Genomic DNA, 22,060 nt, shown 5'->3' on the forward strand with positions numbered 1-22,060 from the left:
CATACTCACATACACACACCTATACCCCTTGCAGCTTTCCTCCTGCTCTTGCCTCAGGTCCACTCACTGTCAGTGTTTCCTGAGATGAAAAGCCTTCCTTACACAGCCAGTATGGAGGAGAAACTAAAACCCCAGGGATCATAAGAACCCAGATCACAACAGATTTGCCGCTGTTATCTTTTTAATGGGAATTTAAGGTATTTGGTGATTCTAGAAGGTTAAAGTAACTAACTTGCTCAGTGATGAAATTTATTTCAATTCTCACAGGCATACCTTGGTCTCCTTTGCCAACCAGAACAAATCTATGATAGGAAGGAATGGTAAAACATTCAAGGTGATGTTACATACAGAGATGAATACCCTAAACTGCAAAGGAGAGGCATTGAAGGATTAAGGGATAAGTGGCCATAGACTGCTAACCCAGTCATCTTGTTGGAACCTCAGAAAATACCTGAGAGGCCAGGCACTGTGGCTCATGCCTGTAATCCCAGCCCTATAGGAGGCCGAAACCAAGGTGGGAGGATTGCTTGAGGCCAGGAGTTTAAGACCAGAGTAAGGAACATAGCAAGACCTTGTCTCAACTAAAACATAAAAAATTAGCTGGGCATGGTGGTGCATACCTGTAGTCCTAGCTACTCAGGAGGCTGAGGCAGGAGGCTCACTTGAGCCCAGAAGTTCAAGGTTGCAGTGAGCAATGATTGCAGCACTGTACTCCAGCCTGGGTAACAGAGCGAGACTCTGTCTCAAAAAAAAAAAAAGAAAAGAAAAAACCTGAAAGACCCTGCAAGCATTTGACTCAATCTTTCTGTCTGACCATTTGACCAAAGAAAGTACAGTCATGTACCACATAATGACTTTTTTGTCAGTGACAAATTGCATATACCATGATGGTCCCATAAAATTATAATGGAGCTGAAAATCTCTTATTGCCTAGAGACGTCACAGCATCATAGCATAACGCATTACTCATAATGTTTGTGGTGATGCTGGTATAAACAAACCTACTGCACTTCCAGTCATATAAAAATACAGCACAGGCTGGGCGCGGTGGCTCAAGCCTATAATCCCAGCACTTTGGGAGGCCAAGGTGGGTGGATCACCTGAGGTCAGGAGTTCGAGACCAGCCTGCCCAACATGGTGAAACCCCATCTCTACTAAAAATATAAAATTAGCTGTGTGTGGTGGTGCACGCCTGTAATCCCAGCAACTCGGGAGGCTGAGACAGAAGAATCGCTTAAACCCGGGAGGCGGAGGTTGCACTGAGTAGCTAGGACTACAGGTATGCACCACCATGCCCAGAGTGCAGAGAGACTCTATCTCCAAAAAAAAAAAAAAAAAAAAAAGCACATACAATTATGTACAGTACAGTACATAATACTTTCATATACAACTATATTACTGGTTTATGTATTTACTATACTATACTTTTTATCATTGTTTTAGAGTACATGCCTTCTATCTATTTAAACAAACATTAACTGCGCAACAGCCTGAGGTGGTTCCTTCAGGAGGTATTTCAGAAGAAGGCATTCTTATCATGAGTGTTATTACCCATGAAGACCTTCCAGTGGGACAAGATATGGAGGGGGAAGACAGTGATATTGATGATCCAGACCCAATGAAGGCCTAGGCTAATGCGTGTTTGTCTCAGTTTTTAACAAAAATGTTTGAAAAGTTAAAAAATAAAAATAGAAAAAAGCTTACAAAATTACGCTATAAAGAAAGAAAATATTTTTGTACAACTGTACAATGTATTTGTGTTTTAAGCCAAGTGTTATTAAGAAGGAATTTTTTTAAATTCTTGAAACAAATGAAGATGAAAACACAGCACACCAAAACCTATGGGATACAGCAAAAGCAGTACTAAGAGGGAAGTTTACAGCAATAAACACCTACATCAACAAGTAGAAAAACTTCATATAAACAACCTAATAATACATCGTAAAGAACTAGAAAAGCAACAGCAAACCAAACCCAAAATTAGTGGAAAAAAAGAAATAATAAAGATCAGAATAGAAACCAAAAAAACTATAGAAAAGAGGAATGAAATGAAAAGTTTTCTGAAACGATTAAAAAAATCAAGAAGCCTTTAGACAAAGAAAAAAAAGAGGAATGCTATTACAAAAGAGTCAAAATTTTTTAAAAAATAAAAAGTATATAAAGTTAAATTACAGTAAGCTAAGGTTAATTCATTATTGAAGAAATAAAAAAACTTTTTTATAAATTTAGTAGACTCTTAGTGTACAGTGTTTATAAAATTTACAGTAGTGTATAGTAATGTCCTAGGCCTTCACACTCACTCACTGACTCACCGGAGTGACTTCCAGTCTTCCAAGCTCCATTCATGGTAAGTACCCTAGATAGTGTACCATTTTTTAAATTATTTTAGACCATATTCTTACCATACCTTTCCTATGTGTAGATATGTTTATTATTTATTTATTTATTTATTTAGAGACAGGGTCTGGCTCTGCCACCCAGGCTGGAGTGCAGTGGCACCATCTCAGCTCACTGCAACCTCCGCTTCCTGGGCTCGAGCCAATCTCACACCTCAGCCTCCCGAGTAGCTGGGACTACAGACCCGTGCCACCATGCCCAGCTGATTTTTATATTTTTTTTGTAGAGACAGGATTTCACTATGTTGCCCAGGCAGGTCTCAAACTCCTGAGCTCAAGTGATTCACCCACCTCAGCCTCACAAAGTGCTAGGATTACAGGCATGAGCCCCCACACCTGGCTTTAGATATGTTTAGATACACAAATACCATTCTGTTCCAGTTGCCTACAGTTTTCAGTACAGTCATGGGCTGTACAGGTTTGTAGCCTAGGAGCAATAGGCTCTACCATATAGCCTAGGTGTATAGTAGGTTGTCCCATCTAGGTTCGTGTAAGTACACTTTATGATGTATGACAACAAAATCATGTAACATCACATTTCTCAGAATGTATCCTTGTCGCTAAGTGACATATGACTGTAATTTGTTGATATCCAGATTCTTAGAAGTCTGCTTCACAACCTAAGACAAGCTGTGGGAAATTCCAAGGGTATCTAAACTGAAAACCATGAGCATGAGCTCAGGGTAATGAATGCCTTCCTCAAGCCACAGTGTCTACCACCCAAATGTTTAGGAAATGCAGGGTGATCAGTGCTAAGTCTTGGCAAATATTGTGATTGTTTCTTAGTAGAAACCTACAATGGTAGTAGCAAACATATGGCTGCCATCCTGGGTCCTTGGCCTAAGTACAGATGTCACTAACTGACCTATTTTTTACATTCTGCATACAGTATATCACCTGAAGGCCAAGAAAATGAGCATGGTTTTGTGGAGATCACCTTCCCTGTATTGCCATAACAACATTCCTACTAGTTTGACAACTAGTAACCAGAGTGGCTCCATGAAGTAGAATGATACTCTAGGAAGCGACCATGATGTAACTTCAGACTTTTGGAGAGTCTGTGAAGTTACATCATGGTCGCTTCCTAGAGAATCATTCAGCCATTACACCAGTATTATGACAAAACTTATCAAATCTGACTCCCAGCCAACATGGAGTAATAGGGACTACGTATACCTTCCCACCTGAAACAACTTAAAAATAGAGCAACATATATCTGAAGCATTTTCCAAACATTAAACAAAGAGCAGTCCAGGCCAGTGATCCCTGAAAGGGGATGCAAATCAAATGCCCGGAGAGACCTGTGATTGACCTGCTTACTCCCTCAAGGGAGTTGCAGTGAGGGGAACACAGGCAGAGTCCAGCAGTCTCCATAAGTTGAAAAGATACAGCTGGAAATCTGAGGACACCAAAGAGACTAGTGTTCCTAGGGCAGAGTACAGAGAGGTGAGAGCTAGCCCAGAGGAACCCTTCCAGAGATGTGAAGTCTTCCACTGAGTACTGGATAGCACATGTATGTAAGTAAACTATTAATACTTGAGACTGGGAAAAGAACTAACCTAAAGGACAAAGGGGAAAACAAAGCAAAACAAAACAAAAAAAACAGGTCTCTGGAGCTTAAAAAAGACCAGGAAGAGTTTGTGTTCCACCAGTCAGAGTGGAAAACCTTACAATTCACAGGGCATCTGGTAGAGTACTCAGAAGAGCATTAGCTCAGTAGAGGAAAATAATTAGCCCTAGGCTAAAGGCTGCTGTGATCCCATTTAATAAAGCTTAAAAGCAAGCCTTTCTGAAAGAATTAAACTGCGTACAATAACTTGACAGTGTCTCAGATAACCCAACAAATGTTTTAGGATCCAATGTAAATTTACCAGGTACACAAAGAAACAGGAAAAGTTGACCCATAATGGGAAAAATCAGTTTATTGAAACCAGTTCAGAAATGACAGTGCTGATATACTAATAAAGTAGGTGTTTAAAAATCATTATACCTATATTCTATATGTTCAAGAAGTGAGAAGAAGGATTAACCATGTAATGTAGAAACATAGAAGATATTTTTAAAAACCCAAATCAAACTTTTAAAGATGAAAACTACAATGTGAGAGAGAAAAAATACATGACAAGGGATGAATAGCAGATTAGACATTACCAAAAATAATTGGTAAACTTGTTTTCAAAAACTGCAAAAAGAAATAGACAAATCCACAATTGTCATCCAAAATTTCAACACTTCAATCCTAAATATTAGTTTCAAAAATAGTAGACAGATTACAAATTAAAATGAGATGCCTCTACATACCTACCAAATGTCTAAAACCCAAAACACTGACAACACCCAGTGCTGGTGAGTGTGTGGAGCAACTGTAAGTCTCATTCGGTGCTGGTGGGAATGCAAAATGGTACAGCCACTTTGGAAGACACTTTGGCAGTTTCTTTTAAAACTTAACATACTGTTGCCATACAACCCAGCAATCGTGCCCCTTGGTATTTACCCAAATAAGATGAAAATCTATGTCCACACAAAAACCTGCACGCAGATATGTATAGGAGCTTTATTCATAATTGCCAAAACTTAGAAGCAACCAACATGTTCTTCAATAGGTGAATGGAAAAAAAACTATGGTATATTCAGACAATGGAATATTATTCAACACCAAAAAGAAATGAGCCATCAAGCCATGAAAATACATGGAAGAACCTTAAATGCATATAATATATAACTAAATGAAATAAGCCAACCTGAGATGGCATATGTATGATTTCAACTCTATGACATTCTAGAAAGGGCAAAACTATGCAAGCTATAAAAGAATAGTGAATTTGGGGCGGAGAGGGATGAATAGGTGGAACACAGAGGATTCTTAGGGCAGTGAAACTCTTCTGATACAGTATAGTCAGCCCTTTATATCACAGGTTCTGCATCTGTGGATTCAACCAACCATGAGCGAAAAATGTAGTTTGGCCTATGTAGCTTTTGTGCTGAACATATGCAGACTTTTTTTTCTTGTCATTGTCCCCTAAATGATACAGTATAACAACTACTTACATAGCCTATACAGTGTATTAGGTGTAAGTAATCTAGAGATTATTTAAAGTATACAGGAGGATATGTGTATTATATGCAAATACTACACCATTTTATATAAGGAACTTGAGCAGCCTCAGATTTTGGTGTCCTTGAGGGATCCTGGAACCAGTCCCCCAAGGGTACCAAGGGACGACAGTACTATAAAGGTGGGTACATGTCATTAAAAATTTGTCAAAACCCAAGAATACAGAGTAACAAGAGTGAACCCTAATGTAAACTATGGACATTGGGTGATAATGATATGTCAGCATAGATTTATCCATGGTGTGAGATTTTGATAGTAGGGGAAAAGCACATATGAGAACTCTGTACTTTCCACTCAGTTTGCTCTGAATCTAAAACTGCTTTGAAAAAAAGTCTGTTAAAAAATTAGTAGTCATTTTATGCCAATAAAAAGTAATTAATATTTTTTAATTAGTAGACAGAATATCAATAAGGATTTTAAAGACTTTAATACTATTAACCTATTTGTTCAAATTGTCCTAATAATTTGCCTTGTTTGTCCTAATGATTGTAGGTATGTACAAATTTAGTCGTTATATCTTTCTGGTGCATTTATCATTAGGTGGATACTTTCAGTGTCTCCGGGAGTGCTTTTGCTATAAGATCTACTTTGTCTAATATTAATGTAGTTGCATTTTTTTTCTTTTTTGACTTTTTAGATTCAGGAGGGTTGTATGCAGGTTTGTTAACTGAGTATATTATGTGGTACTGAAGTTTGGGATATGAATGATCCCATCACCCAGGTACTGAGCATAGTACCCAACAGTTTTCCAATCCTTGTTCCTCTCCCTGCCTTCTTCCCATGTCTATTGTTGCCATCTTTATGCCCATGAGTACCCAATGTTTAGCTCTTACTTATAAGGGAGAACATGTGGTCTTTGGTTTTCTGCTCCTGCATGTAATTGCTTTCTTTTGATTAATGTCTGCAAAATATATGTTTTGCTGTCTTTCTATATTTTTATATTTTCAGTATACTTCCTATTAGTGGCATATTGTGGAGTTTTTTAATGCAGTTTAACAATTTTTGTCTTTTAATTGGAACATTTAGGCTGTTTATATTTAATGTAAAATTTAATGTTTGAATTGAAATATACTTTCTATTTGCTTTTTATTTGTCCTACATGTTCTATGTTCCTTTTTCTGTTTTCTTTCTTTTTAACTTGTTGCTTGGTTTTTATTATTTCATTAGTAATTATACACTTTTTACCATTCTTTTCTTTGTAGAGATTACCACATACATCCTTGACTTATCAAAGTCTTAATATAAATTAGTACCTTTACCTCTTCCTGGACAATACAAGAACCAGGATGAACTTCAACTCCATTTACCCTATCCCAGTATATATTCTGTTTCAGTTCTGTGTTTTAATTATATATGTATTTTTAAACCCTCAAAAGATTATTTTTATTTTGTCAAAGTTTATTTAGATCAGATTTTTCATCCTCATCACTATTAACGTTTTGCGCCAGATAATTCTTTTTTTATGGGGAGATGCCCTGTATATTATAGGCTATTTATCAGCAATCCGTGGCCTCTACCCACTAGATGCCATTAGTACCTTCCTCCTAGTTGTGACAACCAAAGAATGTTTCCAGGCATTACCAAATGTAACCCGCCCCTCAATTGAGAACCACTTGTTTAGGTTTACCTAAACATTTATCATTTTCCTTCGTTCCTTCCTATATCTACTTTCTTCTATTAGGATTATTTTCTTCTTGACTGAAGATCACCTTCTAATAATTCCTTTTGTGCAGATGTGTTGATCAGTTATTTTTGTTTACCTGAAAGGATGTATTTGTTAGATATACATTCTGGGGTTGACAAGTGTTTTCTTTCAGCATTGTGAAGATACGGTTGATTTTTTCCCCCTACACTTTCATTTCCTTCCTAGCTTCCAGTATTTTATTGTTGCCTTCTTCCCACCTACTTTTCTTTTTCTTTTTTTATTTAATGTTTTTTTTTTTTTATTTTATTTTTTTTTTGAGATGAGGTCTCACTATGTTGCCTGGGCTGGCCTTGAATCCCTAGGCTAAAGCGATCCACCTGACTCAACCTTTCGAGTAGCTGGGACTACAGGCACGAACTACCACACCCGGCTCGAAGATACAATTTCTATGTCTTCTTTTTTCCATTGTTTGTTTTGAGAAATCATCTCTCAATCTAATTTTTTCACTTTTAAAAGTAATTTTTTTTCTCTCACTGTTTTTAAGATGTTCTCATTGTCTTTGGTTTTCAGCTGTTTCACTCTGTATACAAAGATATAATTTTCTTGTTTTTATCCTATTTGGCACTTCTTGAATTTGTGGCCTGATGTTATTCATCACATTTGGAAACTTCTCAGCCCTTAACTATACAAATAGTACATTCTCTTTTCCCTTTTTTCATTCTTTCTATAACTACAGGTACTTGCATATCAGCTTTCTCATTGTGTCTTTAATGTCACTTTCCCCTCATTTGTATTTTTTGTTTGTCTATCTCTTCAGTGATTCATCCTGGTTATTCTCTGAACTGATCTTCCAGTTCATTGATACTCTCTTCATCTGTGATTTATCTGCTATTAAATCTATCCATTGACTTCCTTGTTCTTTTATTGTATTTTCTAGTTTTCAGGTTTTCAGTATGTTCTTTTTGTTTCCAATTCTTTGTTAAAAATTTTAATCTCATCTTTTATTTTTTTAAACATATTAAAAATATTTGTTTTAAAGTCTGTGTCTGAAGACTAGGTTTTCTGGATCCTCTATGTGTCTATTTCGGTTGTCTCTTATTTCTTTAGGTTTTTAGCCATGTTTTGTCTCTTCATATACCTGATGACCTTTGATGGAGTGCCAGATATTGTATATGAAAATACTTGAGAATTTGCGTCTGTTTCAGGCATAAGGTTAAGTACATTATGAATAGAATATTGAGTGATTTGAAGCTGGGCTTCACCATATTGAATTAATAATTATGCTTTGGGCTGGGTGCGGTGGCTCAAGTCTGTAATGACAGCACTTTGGGAGGCCAAGGCTAGCGGATCACAAGGTCAGGAGTTTGAGACCAGCCTGGCCAATATGGTGAAACCCCGTCTCTATTAAAAATACAAAAAAAATTAGCTGGGTGTGGTGGCACGCGCGTGTAGTCCCAGATACTCAGGAAGCTGAGGCAGGAGAATCACTTGAACCCGGGAGGTGGAGGTTGCAGTGAGCCGAGATCACACCACTGCACCCCAGCCTGGGCGATAGAGTGAGACTCGGTCTCAAACAAAAAAAAAAAAAAAAAAAAAAAAAATATATATATATATATATATATATATATATGCTTTGGGTCCACTTCACTTTTCCTACCATCCCCCACTGCTTGCTTGCCTCCATTTTGTTTGTTTGTTTGTTTCTCTCTGTCCTCCTGAGGCTGTTTTAAAACTCTATTAATCTTCTCAACCACCTCTTCTGGAATCCAGATGCTTCTAGAAGAAAAACTGTTCTAAACCTCTCTGGGTTTCAGTCCCATCCCAAATATTGGCCCTGTTGTTTTTCTCACCCTTTCTAGTTATTCTCAGCAGGTCTAATGATCTGACTTGCCTTGTCTGCCATTATCAGAAGGAGAAGCTCCCTCAGATTCCTTTTATTTCTTGCAGAAATATATCCTCTTTTTCTCAGAGAATGTTGTAAGTTGTAAAATTCTGTGCTCTTATTAAAGATCTGAAAATGTCATTGTTTAATTGGAAACAGAATTACGGTTTCAAAATCATTCTAATCATTTTTCTTTAATACCTTATAGATATTTGTCCATTATTTCTTATATTTAGTGTTGCCGATGAGAAATTTGACTTGAATCTGATTCTCATCCCTTTGTAAGAAATTTTTTTTCTTTCTATAGAAATTTTTTTCAAATTTTCAACATATCTTTGATATTTGGAAGTTTTACCTTGGTAAAAGAATGGAATGTACCTTGGTATAGGTTGTTTTTGCTGTTTAATGTATCCTTCTTGGGATCTTTTAAACTAAAAACTTCTTTTTTTCCTATACAAGCTCTCTTCACTCTGTTTTCTCCCATGACTGTTCAAGGGTACATTTTTCCTCTTTAAATTCATTTCTGTCTTCTCTTTGTCTGTGAAGGACTCCTCAGAGTGTCTGTCCCACCAGGAGCTCCCCTTTTTATTTCCTAGTGTAGCTGTATATTCGTGCATTTATTTGTCTGTAATATATCTTGTATTATTTCAAGGGAGTTGGTGAGAGGGGAAGAGGGCACAAGGTCAGCTCAGTTTCCCCTCTTGAATCTCAGTACTTCTTTTTATAACTTCATCTGCCAGAATCATCTTCCTCTAGTCAGGTTTCACTTAGTTAGTTCATAGTCTGACTTGCCACATCACCTTTGTTCAACAAACGGCAGTCTCTAAAGTATCTTCATGCCAGCATACAAACCTTTCTTCAGCGTATATATACATTAATTGCCACAGTCATTTGAAAACCATTACTATAGGTTATTGAAATGACCTATATTTCATAGGTTACTGGAACAACTTTTTGAACAACTTTTTGCAATCTACTTTAGTTTTAGAAAAATTAACATGCAGCATGTAAAGAAGGACCAAATCCATTAGCTGATTGGCACCTGAAATCATAAAAGTCAATTCAGAGAGCAAAGTAGTATGTTGGAAGGGAATAACAACAACAGCAGGGGAAAGCAATATGAAAACCTGAACTGAGAGACAAAGTGAAACTAGAATTTGCTGAGTGGCATGGCAAGTGTGCTCTGATGGATATCATAAGTGCTCTGCAATGCATGAAATGTATACATTGAAATTTTCTTGCATTAACAATTGTATGTGCAGACCTTCCATCCTGTTGTGAGGAGTCAGGGCCTAGACCTCGAGGCTCTAGAGTTAAACTCTCATGAGGGTCTCAGGCATCCTGCTGTCCTGAGGCATCCTGAAAGCACTCACTTATGGGGCATTGCCTGATTGAGTGCTTAGGAGTGTGAATGTGCCAGCTGTGGCCATTCTGAGCACACCCCTCTCTCCCAGTATCCTCATTCTGGAAACTACCTCTCTTTCTTTTTTTCCCCCAAATTGACTCACTTTTACTTACCCAGAAATCTAAATAGATAGGCACAGAAATAAACTTACAGAGCTATTTGAATTTTGACAAAATCAGTATCTAAACAGTCTCACTACAGTGTTTAAATACATTTTAGGAAATGGTCTCTCAATACTAATTTTACTATTAATGCTTAGGCCCTCATTATTTTCATTGATATACAGAATTTTGCTTTGCACTTAATATTTGCTTTCATAAACAACTTCGTAATTGAGTGTTTGCCTCCTAGAGGTAAATTTTCTGGGATTCCAATCATAGTATCATTTTTATCAAGTAATTTTTTTCCTTCTAGCACTTACTGTGTTTATCCCAACATTAAATATTATTTATAAACCTTGATTAACTTATTTTTCTTCATTTAAAATTTCTTACCAGTTATCTTAAGTAAACTTTAAAAATATTAATTTAGAATTTTAAAATTCTACATGAAGTCATGAGATGTCTATTATCTATTTTCACTTCATTCAACAGATTTAAAATGAAAAATATTTTGAATTATTTATGTTCTTTTAGGACTTAAAAATTAATAATATTTTCAAACCAATTTATACTTCTATTGAACACATAATTCCACCTAAACATATAAAAATAATTTAATACTAAGTATACAAGGTCTGAAATACTTGGGAAGTACATCGTGAAAAAAACAAACAGAATAATGCATACTTTGAACTTTAAAAATCTATTAGTAACGAGCTAATTTACTCAAGAGTTAAACAGTTGTGAAATAAAATACCCAAATATTAAAACCATTCCACATGCTAAGTAGAAACTTAAAATTTAAAACTTTTTTACCTGGAGATCTAAACTAAGTAGGCTTTGCTTGGTGTCATTTAAGTCTCCAGCTGAAAATGAAACAAAATCAGAGCTTTCTTTAAAAACAAAGAAAGGACAGAAGGGAATGTTGAAAAGTATTTGCTGAACTTCTTAGTAAAATCTAAAATAACTGCCTCCCTTGGGGATAAATGCCTTTCAGTTCTTTGTGCAGAAAATCAGCCAAGAAAGTAACCAGGGAAAATGGTTACCAAGGGAAATATTTTTTTTAATCATAAGAAAAGTAGAAAACAGCAGTGGGTGTGGGGGAAGAGCATTTTGTTTGCAGGCTGAAAAGGCAGAGTTGGAAACACAAAAATGAGCTTGATTAAGAAATCTGTGGTTTTCATAGACTATTCGCATTAAAAATGTTAAAGTTTATACTAGCCAGGATGATGTCACTTGAGCTTTATCAGATTATAGGGATGATATTCTCGTCAGCTAAAGGCTGTGTATATCTGGAATCTATTTTAAATTGGATTAATAATATTTAACTCATCTGCCCACCCACCTCGATCTCACACACAATACTAACAAAACGACAACAACAAAAAAATGGTTACGTATTAATATCAGTGGAAATTATGTAACTTCTAACCATGAAATAATAGAAAGAAAATGTGAAAGGGAGCTGTGTGGCTCCTAATTACCTGTTACGCTGGCAAATTAGTTGTGTACTTTGGCCTCAGTTTCTTTATCTGCAAATGAGAAGTTAGAGACAGATCAGGATTCCAAGCGCAACCCTGCTGTTTATGAGGGACCTTGAGTAAGTTACTTAATGTTTCTGACCAAAGTTCACTCTTCTGTAAAACTAGGGTGATACCTTTCAAATTTTTCTGAAAATAAAAGGAATAACAGATATGAAGGTCCTAACTCAGTGCCTATCCTAGACTAGGTAATTTTAGAACTATTTTTTAAATTTTTTTTTTTTTTTTGAGACGGGAGTTTTTGCTCTGTTGCCCAGGCTAGAGTGCAATGTCGTGATCTCAGCACACTGAAACCTCCGCCTCCCAGGTTCAAGGGATTCTCCTGCCTCAGCTTCCCGAGTAGGTGGGCTTAAAGGCGCCTGCCACCATGCCAGATTAATTTTTGTATTTTTTTTTTTAGTAGAGATGGGGTTTCACCATGTTGGCCAGGCTGGTCTCGAACTCTTGACCTCATGTGATCCACCCACCTCGGCCTTCCAAAGTGCTGGGATTACAGGCATGAGCCACCGCACCTGGCCTGAAATTCTTATATCGTTATTTCAGGGGTCCAAATCATTTGGCAAAGAGGAGCTAAATATTTGTTTAAATGACGTGGTTAGACTGAATCAGGATTTTGTAAAATGACCTAGATAGACTGAATCAAGATAAGGGACTAAATACATAAGCCACTCAACTTCCTAAAAATAAGGAAAATGATATCTATTTTTAAAAATGTAAAACTAGCTGAGTGCAGTGGCTCACACCTGTAATCCCAGCACTTTGGGAGGCAGAGACAGGTGGATCACCTGAGGTTAGGAGTTTGAGACCAGCCTGGCCAACATGTGAAACCCCGTCTCTACTAACAGTACAAAAATTAGCCGAGTATGGTAGCACATGCCTGTAGTCCCAGCTACTCAGGAGGCTGAGGTAGGAGAATCACTTGAACCTAGGAGGCGGAGGTTGCAGTGAGCCAAGATTGTGCCATTGCACTCCAGCCTGGGCAACAGAGCGAGACTACATCTCAAAAAAGAAAAGAAAAGAAAAGAAAAAGATGAGTACAAATGAGCAAACACCATTAAACAGGCAGTTCATAGAAGAGGAAATGTCAGTGGTCAATAAAACAGAAGAGGAAGATTTCTCAATCTCAGTAACAGTCAAGAAAAGTAAATTAAAACAGGAAGGTTATTTTTTCACTACCATAGTGAGATGTTGCTGACAAAACTTTGGGGGTAGAAAAATTACCCAAATAATGCCAATGCTCAATCAAGCTTGAAGACCACTGCTAATCAAAAATCATGGCCTGATTTGAAATACATACATTGTTTTTTGGGGGAAAAAAATGTTGATGATATGCTGTGTTGGCCAGTGTGTAGGGAAAACAGAAACTCTCCTCTTCCTTGAGGACAGCTGAACAGTAGCTATGCTGTCTGTCCTACCATTTCACCTCTAGGAACCCATTGTAGAAACACCTCTTTCTGTACAAAAGTGTGCCTTCAAGGAAGTACTCTGAAGTACTGTAACCATGGATTAGAAAAAAAGTTAACCCAGTTGTGTATAGATAGAGAACAAAGTGGGCTTACCATAAAGCTATTTGGAGAAACAGAAGTAACTCCATTAATACCACCATGCATAGTTGTCCATGCTATACCAGGAATAAAGAGATTTTCAAAACTGTACATGTATTATGATCTTACCTTCTTTTGATGTATGTAATTTAGCATTTTACTAGAGAACAAATTGGAAGGAATAAACAACAAAATATTAACAGTAATTACAGCGAGACTTTTACTATGTTCTTTTATATTTTTATCATGTTTTGAGCTTTGTATAATCAGATAAGAATAACTTAAAAAGAATACAAACAATCAAAAAAGAAGTAACTCTTAAAGTAACAGCACTGAGGAATACCAGTAATTACCACGATGAGATTGAGAAGGTTGCAGAAAACCAAATTTTATAATTTCTGAGGTTCCTGCTCTAAAATTTTGTGGTTTAATGGACTGTTACATGAGTCCTTTTGCAGAAACTATTTTAACCACACTAGCACATGGAAAATGCTGGTATTATGGTTTCTCCTACCCCCTTTATTATTGCAGACATGATTATGTCCCAAAACTTGGTTCTGACAACACTCTGCAGGAATGTGGTATTGGTCACCAAACAACATGAGCAGAGTGAGCATTACCCGTGCCACAGGGCCATCTGCCTATGAAGATTTAGACTCTAGGACATTTCTTTCAGGTGATATTTAAGTAAAATCACCTTTTCAGTATTTTTCCTGATTGTCTAGAGTACCAATAAATTGGGGTTTTTTTTAAGGATGCAATTGTCTACCATATGACAGCTTTGTAGATATTAATACCCAAATAAAGGTAAATTTTGGAAATTTTAAGTAGGGCCATACTCAGAAATTAGTTTTACCTTGTTCAGCCCGAATAAGGAGGCTTAAAGCTGTGCCTACAACCCCTGCCCACGCACTGAATATTAGGTACAATGTTCCGGTATCTTTATGGTTAGTTGAGAATAGTCAACGGTTGGCCAACGTAAGTGGAGTAGGGCGAGGTAAAATGGCTGAGTAAAGCATTAGACTGTAAATCTAAGGACAGAGGCTAAACCTCTTTTTACCAGCCCGGAGGTGACTTTCATGTTGAATTGCAAATTCAAAGAAGCAGCTTCAATCCTGCCAGGTTTCTCCCGCCTTCCCCCGCTCCCCCACCCCCCACCCCAACCCACTGCCTGTGGAAGAAGTAGATTGAAGCCAGTTGATTAGGGTATTTAGCTGTTAACTACATTTTTATGGGTTTGAGTCCCATTTATCTAGTAAGGGCTCAGCTTAATTAAAGTGATTGATTTGCGTTCAGTTGATGCAGAGTAGAGTTTTGCAGTCCTTGGGTTTGCAGAAATTAAGTATAGCCTACTTACTAAGGGCTTTGAAGGCTCTTGGTCTTGTTTAACCTAAATTTCTGGAAGATAAGCAGGGTTAGTGGCTAGATTGGTAGGAGGAAGATGGAGAGGATGCTAAGTGAGGGGAGGAGTAGTATGGACTTTGTTCTAGGACTGACCTCTTGGCCCATAGTTCAAATGCCTTTTAAGCTATACTAAAGTGTTACAGTTGCTTCATTTACTTTAGCTGAACTTACTTTCCCAATGGAATATTACATTTAAGTGGAGTAATGATATATAAGTATCCCACAACTCATTCAACCATTCCCCTATTGATGGACATTTGGGTTGTTTCCCCTTTCCCCCCTCAAATAGAATGGGCTTTTTGAGTTTGTGTACGCATTTCCAGGTTGCTTTCCAAAAAGGTTATAGTAAATAATGTATACTTTCACCAGAAATATATAAAATGCCCATTTCCCTGCCACTTTATTTTTTAAACAGTTTTCACATTTTTGAATGGGTAATACATATAAGTGGCATAAATTTTTAAAGTGCACAGTTAAAATTTCAGTTTTCTATATCCAATACTGATAGTTTGATACCAACCTTCCCATTGAAGTAAGAAAGAAATGAGATCAGCCGGGCGCGGTGCCTCATGCCTGTAATCCCTGCACTTCGGGAGGCCGAAGCTGGTGGATCATGAGGTCAGGAGATTGAGACCATCCTGGCTAACATGATGAAACCCTGTCTCTACTAAAAATACAAAAACTTAGCCAGGCAAGGTGGCATGCGCCAGTAGTCCCAGCTACTTGGGAGGCTGAGGCAGGAGAATCCCTTGAACCCAGGCGGCAAAGGTCGCAGTGAGTCGAGATCATGCCACTGCACTCCAGCCTGGACGACAGAGCGAGACTGTCTCAAAAAAAAAAAAAAAATGAGATCACATATAAAAACATCTTAAAATAATCAATGAAGGCTGGGGGCAGTGGCTCATGCCTGTAATCCCAGCACTCTGGGAGGCCAAGGTGGGTGGATCACAAGGTTAGGAGTTCAAGACCAGCCTGGCCAACATAGTGAAACCCCGTCTCTACTAAAAATACAAAAATTAGCCGAGCATGGTGGCACGCGCCTGTAGTCGCAGCTACTCGGGAGGCTGAGGCAGGAGAATCACTTGAACCTGGGAGGCAGAGGTTGTGGGGAGCCGAGATCACACCACTGCACTCTAGCCTGGGCAACAGAGCACGACTCTGTCTCAAAAAAAAAAAAATCATCAATGAAGTGAGAATATAATAAGGAATCACTGGACCTAGATCAGGAGATAACTGTGAGCAGCCTTTTGCCTTGCGAGTGTTTGCTAAAAATATTAAAGAGCAAAAATATCGATAAAGTAAAAAACAAATATGAAGGAGAAAAGATTTAGAAAGCCAAAAGTTGGGGATTTTTTCTTTTTTAAAAAATGTATTGGCTGGGGGCAGTGGCTCATGCCTGTAATCCCAGCACTTTGGGAGGCCGAGGTGGGCAGATCACAAGGTCAGGAGTTCAAGACCAGCCTGGCCAACATGGTGAAACCCCATCTCTACTAAAAAAACAAAATTAGCCAGGTGCGGTGGCGGGTGCCTATAGTCCCAGCTACTCGGAAGGCTGAGGCAGGACAATCACTTGAACCCAGGAGGCGGAGATTGCAGTGAGCCAAGATTGCGCCACTGCACGCCAGCCTGGGTGACAGAGCGAGACTCCATCTCAAAATAAAATAAAATAAAAATTATCATCTCAAATACTATTTATTCCTCCTGTCTAACTAAAACATTGTACCCTTTGACTAATATCTCCCCATTTCCCCATCACTAGCCTCTGGTAACCACTATTCTACTGCAACCTCCACTGCCACCCCCCTTCCCCCTCCCCACCCCGCCCACACCCCCACACCCCCACCCTCCTGGTTCAAGCGATTCCCCTGCCTCAGCCTCCCGAGTAGCTGGGATTGCAGGTGCCTGCCACTGTGCCTGGCTAATTTGAGTTAGATTTTTTTTTAAGATTCCATATATAAGTGAGATCATGCAGTATCTGTCTTTCTGTGCCTGGCTTATTTCACTTAGCATAATGTCCTCCGGGTTCATCCATGTTGTCATAAATAACAGAATTTGCTTCCTTTCATATATACATTTTCTTTATTCATTCGCTGATGGACACTTAGGTTGATTCCATATCCTGGCTCTGGTGAATAATGCTGCAGTAAACATGGGAGTTCAGTTGTCCCTGCAACATACTGATTTTATTTCCTTTTTTGTTTTTTTTGAGACGGAGTCTTGCTCTGTCACCCAGGCTAGAGTGCAGTGGTGCAATCTCGGCTCACTGCAACCTCCGCCTCCCAGGTTCAAGTGATTCTCCTGCCTCAGCTTCATGAGTAGCTGGGATTACAAGCATCCGCCGCCGCACCCAGCTAATTTTTGTATTTTTAATAGAGATGGGGTTTCATTATCTTGGCCAGGCTGGTCTCAAACTCCTGACCTTGTGATCCACACACCTCAGCCTCCCAAAGTGCTGGGATTATAGGCGTGAGCCACTGCACCCAGCCTGTGATTTTATTTCCTTTGAGATTAGTGGGATTGTTAGATCATCCGGTAGTTCTACTTTTTAAATTTTTGAGGAACCTCCATACAGTATTCTATAATGGCTCCTTTCTTAAAGGGAGATGTATTCTCAAGTCCTTTGCCTATTTTCTTGATTGGGTTATTTGTTTTCTTGCTATCAAGTTCCTTATATATTTTGGATATTATCTCCTTATCAGATATATAGTTTGCAAATATTTTCTCCCATTTTGTATGTTGTCCCTTAACTCTGTTGTTTCGTTTACTGTGTAGATATTTCTTAATTTGATGTAATCTCATTTGTCTATTTTTGCTTTTGTTGCCTGTGCTTTTGGAATTATATTCAAAAAATAATTGCCTACACCAATATCATGGAGCATTTCCCCTATGTTTTCTTTTCTTTCTTTTTTTTTTTTGAGATGGAGTCTCGCTCTGTCTCATATAGCTATAGCTCCAGGCTATAGTGCAGTGGCACGATCATGGCTCACTGCAATCTCTGCCTCCCGGGTTCAAGTAATTCCCCTGCCTCAGCCTCCCCAGTAGCTGGGACTACAGGCATGCACCACCACACCCAGCTAATTTTGTGTATTTTAGTAGAGACAAGGTTTCAGCATGCTGGCCAGGATTGTCTTGATCTGACCTCGTGATCCACCGGCCTCGGCCTCCCAAAGCGCTGGGATTACAGGTGTGAGCCACTGCGCCCGGCCCCCTATGTTTTCTTCTAGTAGTTTCATCATTTATAGATCTTACATTTAATTCATTAATCTATTTTGAGTTGATTTCTGTTTATGGTGTCAGATAAGGATCTAACTTCATTCTTTTACATGTGGATATCCAGTTTTCTCAGCACCATTTATTTATTGAAGAAACTCTTCTTTCCCCATTGTGTCTCTTGGCACTTTTGTCAAAAACCAATTCACTGTAAATGCATGGATTTATTTCTTGGCTCTCTATTCTGTTCCATTGGTCTCTGTCAGTTTTTATGCCAGTACTATGCTGTTTGGATTACTACAGCTTTGTAGTATATTTTGATGTCAGGTGGTATAATGCCTCCAACTTTGTTTTCTTTGATCAAGATGGCATTGGTGCCAGCCTCGTGGCTCACACCTGTAATCCAAGCACTTTGGGAGGCCAAGGCAGGTGGATAACTTGAGGTCAGGAGTTCAAGACCAGCCTGGCCAACATGGTGAAACCCCATCTCTATCAAAAAATACAAAAATTGGCTGGGCATGGTGGTACGTACCTGTAGTCTCAGCTACTCAGGAGGCTGAGGCAGAAGATCACTTGAACCTGGGAGGTGGAGGTTGCAGTGAGCAGAAATCTCACCACTGCTCTCCAGCCTGGGTGACAGAGTGAAACCCTGTCTCAAAAAAAAAAAAAAAAAAAAAAAAAAAAAGATTGCATTAGCTATTCAGGGTCTTTTGTGATTCCTTACGAATTTTATGATCGTTTTTCTGTTTCTGTTAAGAATGACATTGAAAAAAAAAGTTGAAATTTCGATAGGAATTACATAAAATCTGTAGAACACTTTGGGTAGTATAGTCATTCTAACAATATTAATGCTTCTAATCCATGAACAAGAGATATCTTTTCATTTACTTATGTCTTAAGTTTCTTTCATCAGCGATTTATAGGTTTCAGTGTAGAGATCTTTCTCCTCCTTGGTTATGTTTATTCTTAAGTATTTTGTTATTACGTATCTATTGTAAATTTTCTTGATTTCTTTTTCATGTAGTTTAGTTAGTATACAGAAAAGCTACTGATTTTTGTATGTTGATTTTGTATCTTGCAAACTTTATTGAATTCATTTATCAATTCTAGCAGTTTTTTGGTGCAGTCTTTAGAATTTTCTCTATATAAGATGTCATCTGCAAACAGAGAAAATGTACCTTTATCCTTTCCATTTTAGATATTTTTTATTTCTTTCTCTTATCTAATTGCTCTGGCTAGGACTACCAGTTTTATGTTGAATAGAAGTTGCGTGAGTCAGCACTGTTGTCTTATTCCTGATCTTAGAAGAAATGCTTTCAGCTTTTCATCGTTAAGCATGACATATTAACTGTGCACTTGTCATAAATGATCTTTATTGGGCTGGGCGTGGTGGCTCACGCCTATAATCCCAGCACTTTGGGAGGCTGAGGCACGTGGATCACTTGAGGTCAAGAGTTCAAGGCCAGCCTGGCTAACTTGACAAAATCCCGTCTCTACTAAAAATACAAAAATTAGCCGGGTGTGCTGGCACATGCCTGTAAACCCAGCTGTTTGGGAGGCTGAGGCACGAGAATCGCTTGAATCTTGGAGGCAGAGGTTGCAGCGAGCCACGATTGCACCACTGCACTCCAGCCTGGGCAACAGAGCAAGACTCCGTCTCAAAAAAATAAATAAATGGTCTTTATTTATGTTGAGGTACATTCTTTCTATAGTTAATTTGTTGAGGGGTTTTTTTTTTTATCATGAGAGGGTGTTGAATTTTGTCAAATATTCTACATTCCAAAGTTGTTCTTTAAAAAACAAAACTAGTAAAAGCTGTGGCAAGACTGATGCATGAAAAAAGGGAGAAAGCGTGGCTCACCAATGTGAGGACCAGAGAAATTGTTATCACTATAAATTTTTTTTTTTTTTTTTTTTGAGTTGGAGTTTCGCTGTTGTTGCTCAGGCTGATGTGCAGTGGCGCGATCTCAGCTCACTGCAACCTCCGCCTCTCGGGTTCAAGCAATTCTCCTGCCTCAGCCTCCCCAGTAGCTGGGAGTACAGGCGCATGCCACCACACCCAGCTAAATTTTTTTTTGTATTTTTAGTGGAGACGTGGTTTCACCATGTTGGTCAGGCTGGTCTCAAAACTCCTGACCTCAGGTGATCCACCCGCCTCAGCCCGCTCCAGAGTGCTGGGATTACCGGTGTGAGCAACCACGCCCATCTTACAAATTCTTAAAGCATTTAAAAGACAGTAAGAAAATCTTAAGAGGTGACAGCCTGCTGGCAGCCCTCGCAGCCCTCGCTCGCTCTTGGCACCTCCTCAGCCTCAGCGCCCACTCTGGCCGTGCTTGAGGAGTCCTTCAGCCCACGCTGTGCTGTGGGAGCTCCTTCCTGGGATGGCCGAGGCCGGAGCCGGCTCGGACCTGGGATGGCCGAGGCCGGAGCCGCTCAGGTTTAGGGGAGGTGTGGAGAGAGAGGTACGGGCGGGAACCAGGGCTGCGTGTGGCACTTGCAGGCCAGCTAGAGTTCTGGGTGGGCGTGGGCTTGGCGGGCCCCGTACTGGGAGCGGGCAGTGAGGGACTTAGCACCCCGGCCAGCAGCTGCGGAGGGTGCGTCGGGTACCCCAGCAGTGCCGGCCCACCGGCGCTGTGCTTGATTTCTCGTCGGGCCTTAGCTGCCTCCCCGCGGGGCAGGGCTCCGGACCTGCAGCCCGCCAAGACTGAGCCTCCCGCCCCGCCGGGCCCCTTCAAGGCCCGAGCCTCCCCGACGAGCTCTGCCCCCTGCTCCACCGCGTCCAGTCCCACTGACCGCCCAAGGGCTGAGGAGTGCGGGCACAGGGCGCGGGACTGGCAGCCAGCTCCACCTGCAGCCTGGTGCGGGATCCACTGGGTGAATCCAGCTGGGCTCATCCAGCTGGGCTCTTGAGTCTAGTGGGGATTTGGAGAACCTTTATGTCTAGCTAAGGGATTGTAGATATACCAGTCAGCACTCCGTGTCTAGCTCAAGGTTTGTAAATGCACCAATCAGCACACTGTGTCTAGCTCAAGGTTTGGTAAATGCACCAATCAGTGTTCTGTGTCTAGCTGATCTGGTGGGGACTTGGAGAACCTTTATGTCTAGCTAAGGGATTGTGAATGCACCAATCAGCACTCTGTCTAGCTCAGGGTTTGTAAATGCACCAGTCAGCACCTTGTGTCTAGCTCAGGGATTGTGAATGCACCAATCAGCACTCTGTGTCTAGCTCAGGGTTTGCAAATGCACCAATCAGCACCCTGTGTCTAGCTCAGGGTTTGTGAATGCACCAATCAGTGCTCTGTGTCTAGCTAATCTAGTGGGGACTTGGAGAACTTCTGTGTCTAGCTCAGCGATTGTAAACGCACCAGTCAGTACCCTGTCAAAACGGACCAATCAGCTCTCTGTAAAACAGACCAATCAGCTCTCTGTAAAATGGACCAATCAGCAGGATGTGGGTGGGGCCAGATAAGGCAATAAAAGCAGGCTGCCCAAGCTAGCCCTGACAACCCACCAGAGGTCCCCTTCCACTGTGTGGAAGCTTTGTTCTTTTGCTCTTTGCAATAAATCTTGCTGCTGCTCACTCTTTGGGTCCACGCTGACTTTATGAGCTGTAACACTCATGGGGGAAGATCTGCAGCTTCGCTCCTGAAGCCAGCGAGTCCACGAACCCACTGGGAGAAAAGAACAACTCCAGACGCACCGCCTTAAGAGCTGTAATAGTCAACGCCAAGGTCTGCAGCTTCACTCCTGAGCCAGCGAGACCACGAACCCACCAGAAGGAAAAAACTCCGAACACACTGGAACACCAGAAGGAACA

At 39.7% G+C, this 22,060-nt stretch overlaps 2 protein-coding genes and 1 non-coding gene across 12 annotated transcripts in view, besides 1 other annotated feature; 1 reads left to right on the forward strand and 2 right to left on the reverse strand.

Annotated features, from left to right (window-relative positions):
- CENPP (centromere protein P) overlaps positions 1-22,060 on the forward strand; it is a 295,062-nt gene that overhangs the window by 199,105 nt on the left and 73,897 nt on the right. The gene's annotated exons all lie outside the window — the stretch shown is intronic.
- The window catches only part of ECM2 (extracellular matrix protein 2), a 65,560-nt gene that overhangs the window by 31,026 nt on the left and 12,474 nt on the right, over positions 1-22,060 (reverse strand). For 5 of the 8 annotated variants that reach the window (XR_007061259.1, NM_001197296.2, NM_001197295.2 and 2 more), the window contains exon 1: positions 11,361-11,418. The gene's annotated coding sequence lies outside the window, so the exon portion shown is untranslated. Of the gene's footprint in view, positions 1-11,360; positions 11,419-12,028; positions 12,133-22,060 lie in introns of those variants that run through there. The other 3 variants (XM_047422899.1, XM_024447435.2, XM_024447436.2) reach the window with 3 other exon arrangements.
- MIR4670 (microRNA 4670) lies at positions 3,412-3,486 on the reverse strand. The gene has a single exon (NR_039817.1). It is a non-coding gene; the product is annotated as a microRNA 4670 (primary transcript).
- Positions 14,695-14,989: a silencer, noted in NCBI's record as "tiled region #3268; HepG2 Repressive DNase matched - State 9:DNaseU, and K562 Repressive non-DNase unmatched - State 24:Quies". NCBI's record gives its function as "represses a minimal TATA promoter and a strong SV40 promoter by Sharpr-MPRA in HepG2 and K562 cells {active_cell/tissue: HepG2 | K562}" and the evidence as "EXISTENCE:reporter gene assay evidence [ECO:0000049][PMID:27701403]".

The sequence above is a fragment of the Homo sapiens genome, chromosome 9 (genome assembly GCF_000001405.40).
Source record: "Homo sapiens chromosome 9, GRCh38.p14 Primary Assembly".
Classification (NCBI taxonomy): domain Eukaryota; kingdom Metazoa; phylum Chordata; class Mammalia; order Primates; family Hominidae; genus Homo; species Homo sapiens.